The following is an 18,291-nucleotide window of genomic DNA, read 5'->3' as shown; positions in this document are numbered from 1 at the left end:
CGCTTCGCTTTGTCCCAGGAATGTGTATAATGCAATTACAGAATACCTCACTGTGTTGCAGAGGTGAACAATCATAGGAAATATGGGGGACATGTTTTAGTCAGGCTTTTTTTTCTTTTTTTTTTTCTTGGAGAAGGAGTCTCACTTTGTCGCCCAGGCTGGAGTGTGGTGGTGTGATCTCAGCTAACTGCAACCTCTGCCTCCCGGGTTGAAGCAATTCTCCTGCCTCAGCCTCCCAAGTAGCTGGGACTACAGGCACACGCCACCACGCCCGGCTAATTTTTTGTATTTTAGTAGAGATGGGGTTTCACTGTGTTGCCCAAGCTGGTCTCGAACTCCTGAGCTTAAGCAATCCATCCGCCTCAGCCTCCCATAGTGCAGATTTTACAGGCGTGAGCCACCGCGCCCAGCCCTACTCAGGCTTTAATTATTTATGGCAAGCCTGCTGTGTGTAGGACACTGTGCCAAGTGCTTTGCAGTATTTTTTTTATTGTGATAAAAGATGGAACAAAATTTATTATTTTAACCATTTTTTAAATGTGTAATTCATTGACATTGTTTACATTCACAATGTGTGTAACCATCACCACGGTTTATTTCCAGTACTTGGTCATCATCCCAAACAGAAATTGTAACCATTAAGAAATAAGTCTCCATTCCCATCTATGCCTTGGTAACCTTTATTCTGCTTTCTTTCTCTATGAATTTGCCTGTGTTGGGTACTTTCATGTGAGTGGTATCATAGAATATTTATCCTTTTGTGACTGGCTTATTTCATTTAGCATACTGTCAAAAAGGTTCATCCATGTTGCAGCATGTGTCAGAATTCATGTCTCTTCTCTTCTCGCTTTGCTTTCCTTTCCTTTTTCTTTATTCTTTCCTTTCCTTTCCTTTTCTCTTTTCTTTTTCCTTTCCTTTTTTCTTTTCCGTCCCATCATGTCCAGGCTGGAGTGCAGTGGCGTGATCTTGGCTCACTGCAGCCTTGAATTGGCAGGCTCAAGTGATCCTCCCATCTCGGCCTCCCAAGCAGCTAAGACTACAGGCATGTGCCTCCATGCTTGGCTACTTTTTGTATTTTTTTGTAGAGACCATGTTTCACCATGTTGGCCAGGCAGGTCTCGAACTCCTGGGCTCAAGCGATCCACCTGCCACAGCCTCTCAAAGTGCTGGGATTACAGGCATGAGCCATTGTACCTGGCCTCATTGTTTCTTATTGCTGAATAATATTCCATTGTATATATATACCATATTTTATTTATGCAATTACCTGCTTATGGACACTTGGGTTGTACATTATTTTTTATAATGCACTTGGTTCCGCTTAAATTTTTCTTGCCTTCAACACTTTCCAAAATGCCCCAGCACTCTTCTGGCTTTCATCCTTCTGATCCAAGAGAAAAAAGTTAGAATCTGAGTACTCTGCTTTTGAAAAACTGCACACTCGTATGTTATCGAGCAGCTTTTTCCATGTCCTCCATTTACTGTATTTATTTAACTAGAAACTGTCCACTCTATTCCAGTCACTGGTGGACAGAGGACCAGCCTTAGTGCTCACTTCATATGGCATCTTGACATAATAAATCTTGGGACGTCCATGAGCTAGCTGACTGTGCTTCGTGTTTAGCTCTTCACCTACTTATTTTTCTTTTTTTAGCGGGGAGACAGAGCCTTGCTTGGTCATAAAGGCTGGAGTGCAGTGGTGCAACCTTGGCTCACTGCAACCTCTGCCTCCTGGGTTCAAGCAATTCTCATGCTTCAGCCTCTGGAGTAGCTACAGGCATACACCACCACACCTGGCTGATTTTTGTATTTTAGTAGGGATGGGGTTTCTCCATGTTGGTCTGGCTGGTCTCAAACTCCAGGCCTTAAGTGCTCTGCCCGTCTCAGCCTCACAAAGTGCTGGGATTACAGGCATGAACCACTGCGCCCGACCCTTACCTAGTTTTTATTCCTAACTTTCAGAGGTCATAACTGATAATGGTGCAACTGCACAACTCAGTCGCTGGGAACCCATAGTTACAGTTAGGACCAGGGCACAAAATTCACTTACATGTAGAAATTCTCAGCACCCTGCTTAGACAGTTGCATGTATCTTGCACATATATCAGACTGCTTGATTCACAGCAGGACACATCAATTCATTGTCACCCAGCTGTTTGCTCTGTTCTTAAATGTTAGATGCTAAAATCTGGCTTAGTTAGTGAAGAATTAAATAAATGAGGTGAGAAGTTATCTTTTCTGTGGTAGTTGATGTCGTTAATGATATAATAAACAGTACCAGCACACTCCTGTTCTAAGGATGAACCATTCAAATAAATAAATAATAAAAGGACAACATAATAGGGACTTACTAGGTCTCAGGCACTTTGCTAAGCTCTTATGCATGAACTCATTTCATAATACCTTCTGAAGTAGGTGCTACTATTTTCTTCATTTCTAGTTAAAGCAACAGAAGCATCAGTAGGTTGACTCAAGTTGACAGCTAGAAAATGTCAGACTCTAGATCGAAGTGTAGGTCTATCTTACTTCACAACTGGAGCGCTATTTAACACACCTTAGGATTGTAGATTGTTTTGGTCAGAGATGATTTCTTATGTTCTAGTTGAGGAGTCGGCAATATTAGGCACCAAGTGAATAAATGAGTCATGGAAGAAAAGGGGGCACTGTTAAGAACCTTTTGAAGTCTCCTTTTATATGATAATCTTTTTAGCACTGTTCTAGTGTGGTAGTTTATAACTTATGGGGGATAACATGTATTAAAGAAATTGTTCATATTATTCTGGTGTGTTTACAGGTGGTTGCTGTATATGGAACTTTATCTGATTTGCTTTCTGTGGCCAGCAGTAAACTCGGCATAAAAGCCACCAGTGTGTATAATGGGAAAGGTGGACTGATTGATGATATTGCTTTGATCAGGTAACCTTCACCTTTTTATAAGCTGTCAACAGTGTGCCTCAACTTCTTGGTGCTATGCTGTTTCCCTTAAGCAGTAATTTAATCACTGTTAAGAGTACAGGATTTTGGCAAGTGTTTACCTAGAATTTGCTCTTTGGAATTTAAATCATTTGGGCTTAAGGTGAATTGATCAGCTAGAAAACCCTTAGTACATTTCAGTATACTGATAGTCTTTCTGCATAGTTCATATATAGCTATGAGGAATTTCTTCTTTGTGGTACTAGAGAAGGATCTAGTAAGACGTGCAGTTTTTAACATTAAAAATCTAATTCATCTCTTCACTTTTATATGCGCCTGCTTGTTAATCATTTCCTAAGAATGCTTTGCATTTTATAATCATTACAAAGGCCAGATTTTGTAAAAACTTTATAAATATGATAGAATTCTAAGTAGTGATATCACCAGTGATCCACCATAATTATAGGCTTATGTTTGTACCTTAAATATCTCAGGCAGATTTATCTCTTTAAAACAAGTGTGTAGTTCACCTTACTTCATCTTCATGAGGTCAGAGAATTTTGGAGCAGGAAGATGCTTAACAAAGAAGATGGTAAAGGGAACACAAATTAAGTATTGACTATGCCACTTATGTTATCATTGCTTTGCCTGAGTTATACCATTTAATTGGCAAAACATGAGTTTTTTTTATCAGTGATGTGAAGATAATGATGCTTTAACCTATAATGATATACAAAGTCTCTGTATAAATCTAGATCAAAATGACCTTTCAGTATAATATACTGCTTTGCAGTTAATCAGTTCTAGACCCTTCATTTTACAGATGAGGAAACGAATTACCTGTGAAGCTGAGGACTCACTCAGGTCATACAGCTAGTTGGGTTTTGTTAATGAAAACAGATTTTTATACTAATCTGAAAAAGTAAACTGGCATGGTGAACAAGTAGGAAATACTATACACTACATTTTAAATCCAAATAAATTAGGATAACTTCTTAGTTTTTCAATATGTATCTCCCAGCTTCTTTCAGTTTCTAAGGAAAACTGAGTCACATTGTTGGATGATGATCCTCATCAACCTAACTTTCTTCTTAACAAACACGAACTCTGCTTCTTAGAAAAATTTAACGTGTCCTGTGATGTCCTATAGGAAATAAAAACGTCTACAATGGAAGGTTATAATTGAAGCCTTCTGAGCTATAAGATATCTGTTTATTCATTTTTGGTTCACAATACAGTATCTGGGGTAATGGGTTGAGGAAGAGGATGTGCACTGATTGTCCAGAACTCTGGGTTATGTGCAGCCATTTACATTTGGGTGTATGGTGGATGTGTAGTGGGTAAACACTGACAGTAGAGTTACTTCCAGCTATATTTTTCCTAGATTTAATATGACAGTTTATTTCATCTCCAAAGCACACAACAGCTGATGATTTAGGGGTAAAAAATGTAAAGAAAAAAAGAATAGTTGGCTGTGACTTTAATCTATCCTTTCAGCATAATTATTCATTCTCAATTGATAAGAAAGCTGAACTCAACATCGTTTGTGTAAGGAGATTTTTTTCCCCACATTTCAAAAGTACTTTCATGTGCAAGATCTTATTTTTGAATTTAAATTCAAAGACAGTTAAGTTCAAGGGGTTAAACAAAGCATTGGAAACTTAGCTTCTTTGCAGTCTAGATTGATAGCAAAACCTATTGTCTATATAATTGTAAGGAATAGTTCCTATAAGCAACAGATAATTAATGTGATTTTTAGATTTTGATGGTAGCTTTTTAAATTTTGATTTCCCCAGGGATGATGATGTTTTGTTTGTTTGTGAAGGAGAGCCATTTATTGGTAAGTGACTTTAAAAGCCAATTTTATCTGCCAAAAAAAAAAAAAAAAGATGGAATGACAATTATTTTAAATGGGGCTATTAAGCTTAAACATTAAAAATGATCTTATGGCTGTATTCAAATCTTCACACTTTTTGATTCTGCATTGGGTATGTTAAAGTAAATTTTTTACTATATGATCGTAGTTTATTATAGATGCATGTTTTACATGCCGTTAAAATGCTCTGGAGGTATACATATTCATTAACTGTAACATAGTAAGGTAGTTTTGATCTTAGAAACAATTGTTTTGTTTGAAAATTTTTTCTTTGATGGTGAATGTCAAAATTTTTCTACGTGTTGTATTACATATTTGTGAGTAAATATTGCTTGCGTAAGTAGTGTTTGACAGTATTTCACAGTGATCAGATCAGCCAAAAAATGACTTGGTATCAACCACACACACAGGTGTGCACACACACTACCCTTTGATTTGGAAGAAAGCTTATAGTTGTATATCTCAAAAGAAAAGGCCGAAAGGAAGATAAAGTATTTGATTTATTTAGATCCATACAGTCCACACTCTGAATATTTAAGTATTTTTTAAAGCATCATACTAATTGCATTTGGTGAGTGGAAGTAGTTCTCACGATTGTTGCACAGGCAATTGTCAACTTAGAAGTAAGTGCATACTCTTGTCTGTCTGTCTCTACCTTAAAACTGTAAGCAAGAACTTCTCATCTTCTTTTATCCATTGGCCTAACAGTGACTGGCAGGCAATGGTCACTTAATTGGTCCACTGCATACAAACACAATAAAAAATGATCAATTAAGGTTTTTTTATTGTTATTAACTCATGGATTTAAAAATATTTGGTATATTTTCATCCTCTGCATTTATTGATGTTCAGATGGTCTTAATTTTTTGCCACTGGAAATCTCTTCGGGTCTTTTTAACAAACCTTGTTGGATTTTATGGCTTTCTTATTATCTGGAATAACTGGTGTTCATCTTAAAACCTTTTCCTGTCTCAGACCTGGATCAACATTTTTCCAACAAGCCTTGATTTTTTTAGTGGGAAGTGTCATTCCAAGACAAATCTGGGTGCTAGGGAGGCTCTTCGCTATTGGGTTCATTATTGTTGCTATGCCTTTTGGTGGACAGAATTGAAAATATATAGGTAGAGATAAAATTTGTATATAATGTATGTTATAGGATATAAAGTTTATATGTCATATATAACAAAATATGGATAGATGAAATAACTCATGGCTTCATAGTAGTACTTAAAGTTTATATTAAGGATTATAAGGTTTTTACTTATCCTCTTCTGTCTTACATCTGTGTCTCCTTTTTCTATATCAATAGTCCTGACTTTCAGGGACATGGAGACTAATAGAATTATAATGTCACATAATTACTCATTTACTTTACCCCATACAGAACACATCTAAAAATGTCAGAGTAACAAACTCAATACTTTCAGTACCAATATAATTACTAAAAACAGTTAAATGTTTTTCATATGCTAAATCCCTTCTCCCCTTACTTAAAAATAATTGTATTGTTTCTGAATTGTCGGAACATATAGCCATTGTATATTATAGTGTCTCCCTTTATACACTCATTTAGTTTTACTTCTTCAAGCGTACACTTACCTCCAGTCCTTTTGTTATGTTTCCAGTGTTTATCTGAAACTTGTTCTCTAGTAGATTTCTCTCCAAGATACTATGAGAACAATATTCGGTGACATCTTCCAATGGCAAGATGCCATTGCCATCCACCATCTTTATATAATTTTGGTATAAAATTATATGTCAAAGCTTATTAAATTATAAACTTTAGTATGTGTAACTTGTTCTGTGTTAATTATACCTCAGTGAAGCTATTGAAAAATCCTTGGTTCACATTATTTTTCTTTGAATATCTTAAATATGTTACTGCATTTTATTCTGGCCTGAGGTGTTGGTCTCAAAAAATCTGATCTTTCTTATGTGATTATTTTTCATAGATCACCCAAAGGATATTTCTCTTTCTTTAAAGTACAGTAATTTTAGTAGAATATTTATTGGTGTTCTGAGTTGTTCTGGATTGGTTTTCTCAGTATGTGATGGATCCTTTCAATATATAGTTTCAAGTGTATGTATTTTAAAATTTCAGTACAGTTCTCTTGAAGTTGACATTTTTATTTTGTTCACTTTGATTTGATTTCCTTCTTTCAGGACTCTATTGTATGTAGGGTGGATCTTTTACACTTGTCTTTTATGTTTGAAACTTTCTTTTCCTTTCTTTTTATTTTATTTATTTTTTTGAGACAGGGCCTCACTTCATCACTCAGGCTGTAGTGCAGTGGTATGATCTTGGCTCACTACAGCTTCAACCTCCTGGGTTCAAGTGATCCTCCTGCCTCAGCCCCCAACCAGGAGCTGGGACTGCAGATGTGTGCTACCATGCCCGGATAATTTTTTTGTATTTTTTGTAGAGATGGGGTTTTGGGGTTTTGCCCTGTTGCCCAGGCTGGTCTCGAACTCCTGAGCTCAAGCAATCCACCCGCCTCGGCCTCCCAGAGGATTATAGGCATGAGCCACCACGTCTGACCATTTCTTTTTAATTTTTCAAGCTATTCTCTTTTTTACCTTTTCTTTCCCTTAAGTCATTGTCTATTGTGTTTAATCACTCTTGTATTTCTTTTGCTTTAGTCTTTAAAAATCATTTTTCTTTTATTTCTAATTCTCTTGGGAGTTCTTGCTACTCATTTCTGAATTTTTAAATCCTGGTTTATATTGTTGTTTTATACCTTGTATAAACTTCTTTTAGCATGTTTTGGAATATTAGATTATAATTTTGATCTATTTTGTGGGTATTTCTGGCATGTTTTCATTATCTATAAGGACAATTATTATTTTAACACTTTTGTATTAACATTTGATCAGTCTTTTTGTATTGCTCATTTTTATATGAAATTAGTTTTTCTTAACTTGAAAAGAGGGCTGACAGGACAGTTTTTCCAATTTCATGGCTCTAGAGTTCCCTTTTCTGTTGTTTTTGTGAAGTGTTTAAAATACACAGAACTCATTTTCTGATATATTCTGGTCTATTAAACCTCTTAACTTTCATCTGCAGTCCTTTTTTTTTTTTGTCTCTGTTGTCTTTGTTGCATTCAACTTGGATTATTTTCCCAGCATCTTATCAGTATGGGGCTTTGTCCATGGAAGGGAGTTTTGGCCATTTGGTTTTAAGAGTTTATTTTCAGCCCTATAAGATCTTACTGCAAACTACTTGCATCACCCACTTTTGGGATGATCTCAATCTGTTGTTTTCAGCTAGACTTATTAAGCAATGAAGTCAGTATCTATGGATGGCTTTAACATTCATGGGTTCATCATATACCCTGTTGCTTCTCTCTGCTTTTTCTTTCACAGGCGCTGAAAGCATGCTGCTCTTATAGCTGTTGGTATTGGTGGGACTACCTTATCACCTAGTGTTGTTTTAGATGCAGTCTGTGGGTTTGGGTATTGCTGTCCTAGTAGCTCTGGTATGCTTTTATTATGTGTGTATTCAGTTTAAAAAATTATGCCATTACCATCTTCCCAGAATCCCCAATCTTAATATTTGTATTATTTTCTACATGTCATCTCTAGATCCTCAGACAGATTCTAAGCCTCCTGAGGGATTGTTAGGATTCCACACAGACTGGCTGACATTAAATGTTGGAGGGCGGTACTTTACAACTACACGGTAGGTGTGTGTGTATGTGTGTTAGAAAGAGAATGCAAAAGAAGCACTGTGTACCCTTTGTTCTTCAATTTGCTGATTTCCTTAAAAGATACTCAAATGCTGCTTAAATATACTATGTGATCTGAAACCATTTTTTATAACTTTTTTTGAAGAAAAAAACATGGTTCACTCCAGAGAAAGCATAAAAGGCATCACTTCAGTGTTTTAGAACATGCTTTTGGCTGGGCGCGGTGGCTCACGCCTGTAATCCCAGCACTTTGGGAGGCCGAGGCGGGCGGATCACGAGGTCAGGAGATCGAGACCATCCCGGCTAAAATGGTGAAACCCCGTCTCTACTAAAAATACAAAAAATTAGCCGGGCGTAGTGGCGGGCGCCTGTAGTCCCAGCTACTTGGGAGGCTGAGGCAGGAGAATGGCGTGAACCCGGGAGGCGGAGCTTGCAGTGAGCCGAGATCCTGCCACTGCACTCCAGCCTGGGTGACAGAGTGAGACTCCTTCTCAAAAAAAAAAAAAAAAACATGCTTTTTAGATATTGAGTAATAAACACACAATATAAGTAAAAATTAACACTACTGAAATTTGTGGAGACTACAACTGCTTTTATTAAAGGGCAGAAAAATGTAAGTTTGGAAGATCAAGAATATTATTATGTAATAATTTGCTTACAGGATAGACAGACAAGTATTTAAAGCAAAGGAAACTAAAACAATGTTTAAATCAAAGGAAGTACCCTATTAGAAGGGATCTGATAAATGGCAACTTACTGCACGTTTTTGTTTCCCAGCGTTACTCCTACCAGGTTGTAGCATGCATCTTTTTGAGAGAGCAGCTGGGATCGAGTATACTCTTGACTTAAATATGTTTGTTTATAAAGACAAATGGAGAAATCAATTTTTTTCCCTGAATTCTTAGGAGCACTTTAGTGAATAAAGAACCTGACAGTATGCTGGCCCACATGTTTAAGGACAAAGGTGAGTGTAACACGTTGTTTTCACATTTCATCTTACCTGTTTTATATCTGTGCTGACTTTATAACTCCTGACCTTCTGTACTTACTAATTATGTCAGTTTTTAAGAGTAAAAACTTATATTTAGCAATTTTTTCCTCATACATTTCTGACTTTATTTTTTGTTTATGGGGGACTTTCTTTATTATAATGGTGACACAGGTGTCTGGGGAAATAAGCAAGATCATAGAGGAGCTTTCTTAATTGACCGAAGTCCTGAGTACTTCGAACCCATTTTGAACTACTTGCGTCATGGACAGCTCATTGTAAATGATGGCATTAATTTATTGGGTGAGTTTATTTAGACTTTCAATATAATTATGTAACTACTCACATTTTTGTAAGTTTAAGATTTTAACTTTGTTTCACTCAGTAACAGTATATTTCCATAAAGTAAAAGTATATATTTTTTCTATTTTTTAAACTAGATGTTTTCACATGTATATGAGTGATATAGGTGTAGAAATAGATTTAGGCACGGGCAGGTGGTCCTTCAGGTAGATAGTCTTTGTACATATAGCTAAATATGTAAGCCATACGCATCAACTTTATATTCTAAATTGATTTACGTTCTATCACAAGTGACTTTAAAGGATTTTGTTGTTTCCTTTTTTAAAAATTGAATTAAGAATGTAACTTGGCTCCAAGTTCTGGATATTCCCCACATTATGTGAGAACTAGAGTAGTCAAGAGGGCAAATCATGCCTTGCAATCATAATTCTCAATTAGAGTCTTGATTCTACAACTTGCTAACTTAGGGAGACTAACTTGGGGAAATTTCTCTGAGTCATATTGGAAAAATGAGTGTTAAAAGCACTCTTGACCCTATCTACATCACAAGATTTTTGTGAAGATTCACGGAGGTGATGTAGACAAAGCCCTTATAAAACACTGGTTGCATATTTGGAAGCTAATAGGCCTCCAAGTGACTGAAGTTGATGTGATGTTAGTACTTGAGGAATGGTAGGCAGTTGGCAATCTTGAGGTCACATGCCTGTCAGCTTCAGCAGATCATTGCCATGTGCAAAGTGGTCAGACGTAGAGTGCCAGAACCTTGGTTTTTAAAGAAAACCTGGGTATCTAAAATTTTATGTGACATGTTTTTGTTTTGAAAACATTACATGCTGAACACATCAGAATCAGCCTGAGGACTGCTGGCTTACAGTTTCTGTAGTGAAATACAAAACACCCATTAACTTTTAGTGTTGCTATAACAAACTTTATATTCCCTTGAACATGTACCTATTGCAAAAAAAAAAAAAAAAGATATTATTTGACCCTTTTAGCTAGTTCTATAACTTTATAACTAAATTCTTGTTGCTTTCTATTTCTCCCATTTTAATTTTTCTTCAAATTATTGATAGCATTTTGTATCCCACTTGCCTAGAAAATGTCAGAAATATATTTATCCATGCTGTGTCACACATCTGCAAACCAAGCTATTACCAAGATTTGCTAGTTTTTTCTTTTTCATGTTTCTCAACCATTTATTTGTTCAAGTGTTCAAAAAGCAGAGCTCTCTGCTGGATTCATTTTATAAAGCATTGTTTTCAGTTAGTACAGTTTCCATCCAAACTCTTTACATTGCCTACAGGTTGCCCCAAGTAATTATATGCTTTAAAACAATCTACAGTAATTTCACTAACACCAAAAAGTAGTGAGTGGCAGAGCTGGGATTCAAATCCAGATTTTTTTTTTTTTTTTTTTTTTTTTTTTTTTTTTGAGACAGGGTCTCGCTCTGTCACCCAGGCTGGAGTGCAATGGTGTGATCTCTGCTCACTGCAACCTATGCCTCCTGGGTTCAAGTGATTCTCCTGCCTCAACTTCCCAAGTAGATGGGATTACAGGCACACACCATGATGCCCAGCTAATATTTGTATTTTTTTTGTTTTGAGATGGAGTCTTGCTGTGTCACCCAGGCTGGAGTGCAGTGGCGCGATCTCGGCTCACTGTAAGGTCCGCCTCCTGGATTCACGCCATTCTCCTGCCTCAGCTTCCCGAGTAGCTGGGACTACAGGCACCTGCCACCACGCCTGGCTAATTTTTTGTATTTTTAGTAGAGACAGGGTTTCACCATGTGTTGGCCAGGCTGGTCTCGAACTCCTGACCTCAAGTGATCTACCCACCTCAGCCTCCCAAAGTGCTGGGATTACAGGTGTGAGCCCGGCCTGTCTTTTGTATTTCTATGGCTTCTCTGGATGTTTTAAAGGTTTAATTCTAAACCTAGAATTGGAAACGTATCCTGGCTGCATTCCCTAAGAGTTCTGCTTTACTTAGACCTTGGCAAATTGAGAGCGTGGCCCACAAGAACCTCTTTTATAATATGTTGAGTTTCCACCAGGGATATATATCCGAACGGAATGGCATAATCTTTGGATGCCTCTTGAAGGGGAAATGTGGACCCTGTATGCCAGAGTGGTAGCCCGATGCTGTACCTTGGATGACGTTTGTTTTACAATTGGATTGTTGACCATAGAGTTTGGTCTTCACAGAAAAGATTGTATTATTCTTCCCAAATAACTGCTTCTGGTTTTCTGTATCTACTTACCCTTATTAGCTTGTAAGTGTTTGAAGGGAGGGATTATGTCTGATACTTTCTTTGTAATTCCAGAGTTCTAAGTAGTTTTTTACTGAGTCAACAGCCAACTGATTGAGGTCTTCTCATTTGAAAGATAATGGAACCCAAATGTATTCCCACACATTCTGATGATGTTTATTAACAGATTAGAATAAGTAAATATACCAAGTCATGTAAAGGATGTACATTTTTTTTTACCAAGTTAAAGTAAATGATAAATGAAAGCTCTTTTAGTATTTACAAATATTTTAAAATTTATTCTCCTATAAGACAGATTTCTGAATTATACTTTTGACTTTTTTGTACTTTTTAAACTTTTATTCATTTCTATCATTTTCTGATTCAGTATGTAAAAGATACTTGTGGCAAACCTGTTCAGATCTGCTCCATTTAAAAAGGCAATTAAATGTTAAGATTATGTGAACTAATCGTATTTTAGTAAATTCAAAATGAATGTAATACATTCACTAAATTAGGTTGTTTCAGAATTATTTTTGTTCTGATAGGTGTGTTAGAAGAAGCAAGATTTTTTGGTATTGACTCATTGATTGAACACCTAGAAGTGGCAATAAAGGTAAGCCTGTTTTTACATTAGCCAGTGTTACATTCATTGTAGCTATCTCCCAAAAGACTCCACTAATTTCTTAATGTCTTTTTTAAGAATTCTCAACCACCGGAGGATCATTCACCAATATCCCGAAAGGAATTTGTCCGATTTTTGCTAGCAACTCCAACCAAGTCAGAACTGCGATGCCAGGTAATTAGCAGGCTTTTACATCAATTATTTCTATCAGCAAATCTATGAATAAAATTTTACATTCTTCTAGTGTTTTGGGATTATCTTGCTTTGTTTTTCTTTTACATGCAAGATCTAATTTAATTATGAGTCATAGCATTGATTTAGTTCTGAAATGGTTAACGAAAAAGAGATGCAATAATAGCCTTTTTAAATTGTCTAATTATACCTCATGCAACAGTTTATGAATAATGCATAGAAATTGCAGCAGTTTTTTAAAAGTCAGTATTTGTACATTTGCAATATATGGGCTGATCAGTGGCAGGTACTTTACTTATGTGTACTATAGCATTTCAAATTGTAAAGACCACAGTACTCATTTTTGCCTAATAAACTGTTTTGAATTACTGAATTAATAAAATAATTTAAATATAATTAGGTTTAAATACTTATTAGCAGGTATAGGACTAACAGGGATCCCTCTTTAGAAGCTTCTACACAGAAATGAATTATAGCCGGGCTATATTCTAATGTATATATTGATAGAGTTTCTTTTATGAGGAACCTATTTAAGGACACTTCTTTTATGTATCTAAGTTCCATTTTATCATGTTCTGTAATAAACTCCAAGTGACTGAACTGCCAATTGCTTCTAAAAAAAACTTGGTGGTTAGCTATAGTAATTAAATTTAATACAAACAGACGATTTAGTTATGGTGACAATTTGTGCTTTTTTATTTCAGGGTTTGAACTTCAGTGGTGCTGATCTTTCTCGTTTGGACCTTCGATACATTAACTTCAAAATGGCCAATTTAAGCCGCTGTAATCTTGCACATGCAAATCTTTGCTGTGCAAATCTTGAACGAGCTGATCTCTCTGGATCAGTGCTTGACGTAAGTATCATTTTAGGCTACAAGAGAAAATTAAATGTTTAGTCTATTGAACAGTCTCAAAGAGCCTTTGAGACAGGAATTATAACTATCTTTTACTGGAGCTTTTACTTGAAAACAGATAATTTATTATGTTGATATAAGACTAAAGGTCTGAAAGTGAAATGAATTTGGTTTTACAGGTTTGATATCCTTTATTAAACATAGACTTGAAAGGTTTAGTAACTAATAAGAAATTAAATCTTGGAATTAGTTCTTGATCTCCTCAATATACTGTACTTTATTTATCAGGACTCATATTTTCAGCTAATTGTAAAGGTAAAGCTGAAAGGAACCTTGAAATCTATTCAGCCTCATTTCTGGAATGGGAAAATGTTACTGCTCAAGAAGTATTTGACAGATATTTTGAAATAAACATGGTATGCATCAGTTTGTGGAAGTTAACATCTCAGTGGCGTTTTCCCTCTCTCTACATATATGTGTATATTTATATATATGTATATGTATGTATTTATAACAGTTATCTGTGTTTATTTGAAGTTAGAGGATATATGCAGACCAACAATGAAATCTATTAATTTTTAACAACTTTAAGTTCCTTACCACCAAGGCCCGTGTCTGTATGTCTTTTGAATTAATACCATCTTGCTTTTGGTAGTCATTTATTGAATTACTCTAATTTGGGTTTTACTCATTAGCTGCAGCTTATTTTTCCATGAAGCTGTGTATCAGGGCGAGTAACAAAATCTACCAAATATGCATTTTAGTTACTTTCACTGTCCTTTATTCTGTCTTATCATGAAGGGTCAGGTTAGTAGCAAAACAGGAAAAAGACTAACATCAAAAAAACGTTTGAAGGACCTAATCTTTAAATAGTGAAATGTCGAGAGGCATCTTTGTTTGTGTTAAGGACAAAAAAAAAAAGATGTTTGTCAAAAACGCTTTGAGATAAATGAACATAATTTAAAACTCTTGGCTGCGTGTGGTGGATCATGCCTGTAAACCCAGCACTTTGGGGAGCAGAGGCAGGCAGATCACTTGAGGTCAAGACCATCTTAGCCAACATGGCGAAACCCCGTCTCTACTAAAAATACAAAAATTAGCCAGGCGTGGTGGTGCATGCCTGTAATTCAAGCTACTCAGGAGGCTGAGGCACGAGAATCACTTGAACTTGGGAGGCAGAGATTGCAGTGAGCTGAGACAGCACCACTGCACTCCATCCTGGGTGACGGAGTGAGACTTTGTCTCAAACAAAACAAAACAAAAAAATAAAGTCTTAAAACATATATTTTCTACCATTTTACTCTCTGCCCTGCATTATGCATTGTGATGTGCCTGCTCAGGGTTAATAATGTTTAGCCATGGTTGGTGCAGAAAGACCCAGCCAGCATCTTGTTAGTGTTTTCTAGCTAAATAATGCCTTTAAATGCTGGCTTTTGTATTCTGACCTCTGACTTGAGGGCAGTAGTAGCATCTTAGAATATCAAGAATTTCACTTAGAACATCAAGATTCCTACAGTAATAAGAAAATCCATACCCCTAACAAGTCTATGCCTTCCTTACCCATACATTTTGACTGTTTCATTGTCATGCATAGGTATGTTTATAAAAATAGAGATAGAGGTGTCAGAGTTCTGACTCACCCAACTTCTTTATCTAAACCGTTATGTTTCATGTAAAATGAGCATGCTATTGTTAATTTGCATTTATTTTTTAAAAAACAGTTCTTTAAAAAAATTTTTCTTTCAAATGTTCCCAGTTCTTACTGTATTTAATTAGAAAAGCCTTTATTGTAAACAGAAAATAAAATTGAGTATGAGTGTTTTGAGTTGAGCCTTTCCCTCTTTTCTATTTTTTTTCTTTTACTGTTTGAGCTAATTTGAACAAAATTATGAACCTTACAACCAGGACTTTTCTCTTTTCTTTGCAGTGTGCGAATCTCCAGGGAGTCAAGATGCTCTGTTCTAATGCAGAAGGAGCATCCCTGAAACTGTGTAATTTTGAGGATCCTTCTGGTCTTAAAGCCAATTTAGAAGGTGAGATCCTTTCTGTAAATACCTATTCTACGAAGGAAGCAGACTGTAAAGGAAAAAAGCCCTGGAAAATAATTGTTAAGGGTGAAACAGGATAGCTGTAGGGGATAGGTTTCTTCTGTCATCATATTTGGAGAACTTCCAAAGTGGTAAGAAACCTCCATTTGGTTTCAGTCAAATGCTAATCAAAATTGAGGACTCAGAAAAAATAAAACCTCAAATATTTAATAAGGTTTTAGTTGGAAAATTAAATATCAACATCTTAAACTTTCAAATGGAATAAAATATTCTTACACTGACCAAAAGGAAAAATTTCATTTGCATAAAGCCAGGGAGTTTTTAAAAATCATTTTTAGATTTAATGTATTGTTTCTTAATTTGTTACTATCTGTGACTGATCACTTTGTTTACTTGTATATTTAGGAGACTACTTCACTCCCTTATCATAAACCTGTAGAGGCATATTATGAAAGTGCTAACTATCATAAGACAGAACTAAATTTCTTCCCTCAAAAGTATTGTGAAAGCATTCTTTCATCAGTAAACTGTTTATATATATAAGTTCGTTGAGAGACAAGATTTTAGATTAATTTCCAAAAGTTAAAAGAGGCCTCCATTAAGTCATCTTGCAGTTCTGTTGAAGGTAGATAACTATATTTTTAAGTTAAACTACTCCCAGAATGTGTTCACTGTAGGTGCTAATCTGAAAGGTGTGGATATGGAAGGAAGTCAGATGACAGGAATTAACCTGAGAGTGGCTACCTTAAAAAATGCAAAGTTGAAGAACTGTAACCTCAGAGGAGCAACTCTGGCAGGAACTGATTTAGAGGTGAGTTCACCAACACTTTAAGAATTTTTATTACTCTAGACTTACTAAGCATCTCATGCAAAATTTATTGAAATCAAAACAAAGTAGTTGGCTGGTAAAACTGGATTGGAAGACTCATCTGACATTCAGTCTAAGTTGATTTCATTTCTCTCCTTTTCCTTGAGTTTTTCTCAAGTAAATAAGTTTGATAGATGTGTTATCTAATGTATTGCATTTTCCATAAAATTTAATTCCGAATAGAATTAAATGGGCTAGATTACTTCTTAAACTACTTGAGAAATTTAAATGATATCCAGGTTTGAAATCAGGTTCAGGAAAAGTCTATTTGAAATTGGAACCATATGTTTTTTGGTTTTCAGCTTGAGATTATAATTTTGCCTGGTCATCTTTTTCAAAGAATTATATTTGTATGTCTTCTTAATTTGCCAGTTTAGCTAGCAGACTTGATAGCTGTTGATAGGTCTATATCAGCACTATCCAATAGCACTTTGTGCAGGAGGGACATGTTCTATATCTGTGCTGTTCAGTATAGTAGCTACCACCCATATATAGCTATTGAGCGCTTGAGATTTGGCTAGTGCAAATGAGAAATTGATTTTTAAATTTTATTTAATTTTAATTCATTTAAATTTAAGTAGCCACATGTGGCTGGTAGCTATGAAATCTGGTATAAATTGGATAGCAGAGAACGGTATGTCAAAATTTAGCTTGCTGTTAATGTTTTTTCATAATATTTTTGCCTAGATATCTTGATAGCTCTCGGTAGCAGAGTAGCAGGCCCCTTTCAACTTCAAGGCAAAAAGAATTGGCCTAAGTATAATCCTATCACGAGCACAATTATTTATTGTTTGTTACATTACTTTCACCTAAGATTATATTTTTTTCCTTGGTTTTAGTACTGTGTACTCAGTGTGGCCTAGCAGCAAAAGCCTCCCTCTCTCTGATTGCAAAGACTGATCAGGTTGACTATTGAGGGGAGAGCTGCTGACATTTGTTCTCCTAACAGGTTACGTTTAGTCACCCTTCTCTCTAACCATTGTCCCCTATCATATCCAGGGACTTAAGTGGAATCTCTATCTTATTGCTCCGTGATCTCAAGACAAATTAAGAAATAGCTTCAAATTGCGGTGGTTACACTGTTCTGTACATCTGTCAAACTCACTGTATTATATACGTACCTTTGGGGCTTTAAAAAGAAGGGCAGTTCCTTGCTATAAAAATACTAGGGCTAGGGAATGGAAAAATCTATTACACAATTTGATTAAGTAAAATCTTTTCAGATTAAAAAAAAAGTCTTCCCCCCATCTCATTCCTTTTGTTGTTGTTGTTCTTGGATCATAGTAAAATTGTTTTGATAATATTTATTACTTTGGGGCCAGGCGCAGTGGCTCATGCCTGTAACCCCAGCATTTTGGGAGGCCAAGGTGGGCGAATCACTTGAGGTTAGGAGTTTGAGACCAGCCTGGCCAACATGGTGAAACCCCGTCTCTACTAAAAATAGAAAAAATTAGCCAGGCGTGGTGGTGAGTGCCTGTAACCCCAGCTACTCTGGAAGCTGAGGCAGGAGAATAGCTCGAATCCTGGAGGTGGAGGTTGCAGTGAGCCGAGATTGCACTCCAGCCTGGGCAACAAGAGCAAAACTCCGTTTCAAAAAAAAAATTGTGTGTGTGTGTGTGTGTGTGTGTGTGTGTGTGTATTTATTATGTTGGAATCCATTCTGTATTTTAAATCAGTGGTCCCCAACCTTTTT

General features: G+C 36.0%; 1 protein-coding gene across 6 annotated transcripts in view; it reads left to right on the top strand.

Moving 5' to 3' along the window:
- The window catches only part of KCTD9 (potassium channel tetramerization domain containing 9), a 30,587-nt gene that overhangs the window by 9,389 nt on the left and 2,907 nt on the right, over positions 1-18,291 (top strand). For 2 of the 6 annotated variants that reach the window (NM_017634.4, XM_047421914.1), the window contains exons 2-11: positions 2,795-2,916; positions 4,710-4,753; positions 8,372-8,468; positions 9,381-9,439; positions 9,638-9,766; positions 12,560-12,627; positions 12,715-12,810; positions 13,533-13,682; positions 15,610-15,715; positions 16,408-16,541. In NM_017634.4, coding sequence (NP_060104.2) covers positions 2,795-2,916; positions 4,710-4,753; positions 8,372-8,468; positions 9,381-9,439; positions 9,638-9,766; positions 12,560-12,627; positions 12,715-12,810; positions 13,533-13,682; positions 15,610-15,715; positions 16,408-16,541 — 1,005 coding nt within the window. Of the gene's footprint in view, positions 1-2,794; positions 2,917-4,709; positions 4,754-8,371; positions 8,469-9,252; positions 9,440-9,637; positions 9,767-12,559; positions 12,628-12,714; positions 12,811-13,532; positions 13,683-15,609; positions 15,716-16,391; positions 16,542-18,291 lie in introns of those variants that run through there. The other 4 variants (XM_047421911.1, XM_047421915.1, XM_047421912.1 and 1 more) reach the window with 4 other exon arrangements.

This window comes from Homo sapiens, chromosome 8, assembly GCF_000001405.40.
Source record: "Homo sapiens chromosome 8, GRCh38.p14 Primary Assembly".
Classification (NCBI taxonomy): Eukaryota; Metazoa; Chordata; class Mammalia; order Primates; family Hominidae; genus Homo; species Homo sapiens.
This window is presented reverse-complemented; position numbering and strand designations above follow the sequence as displayed.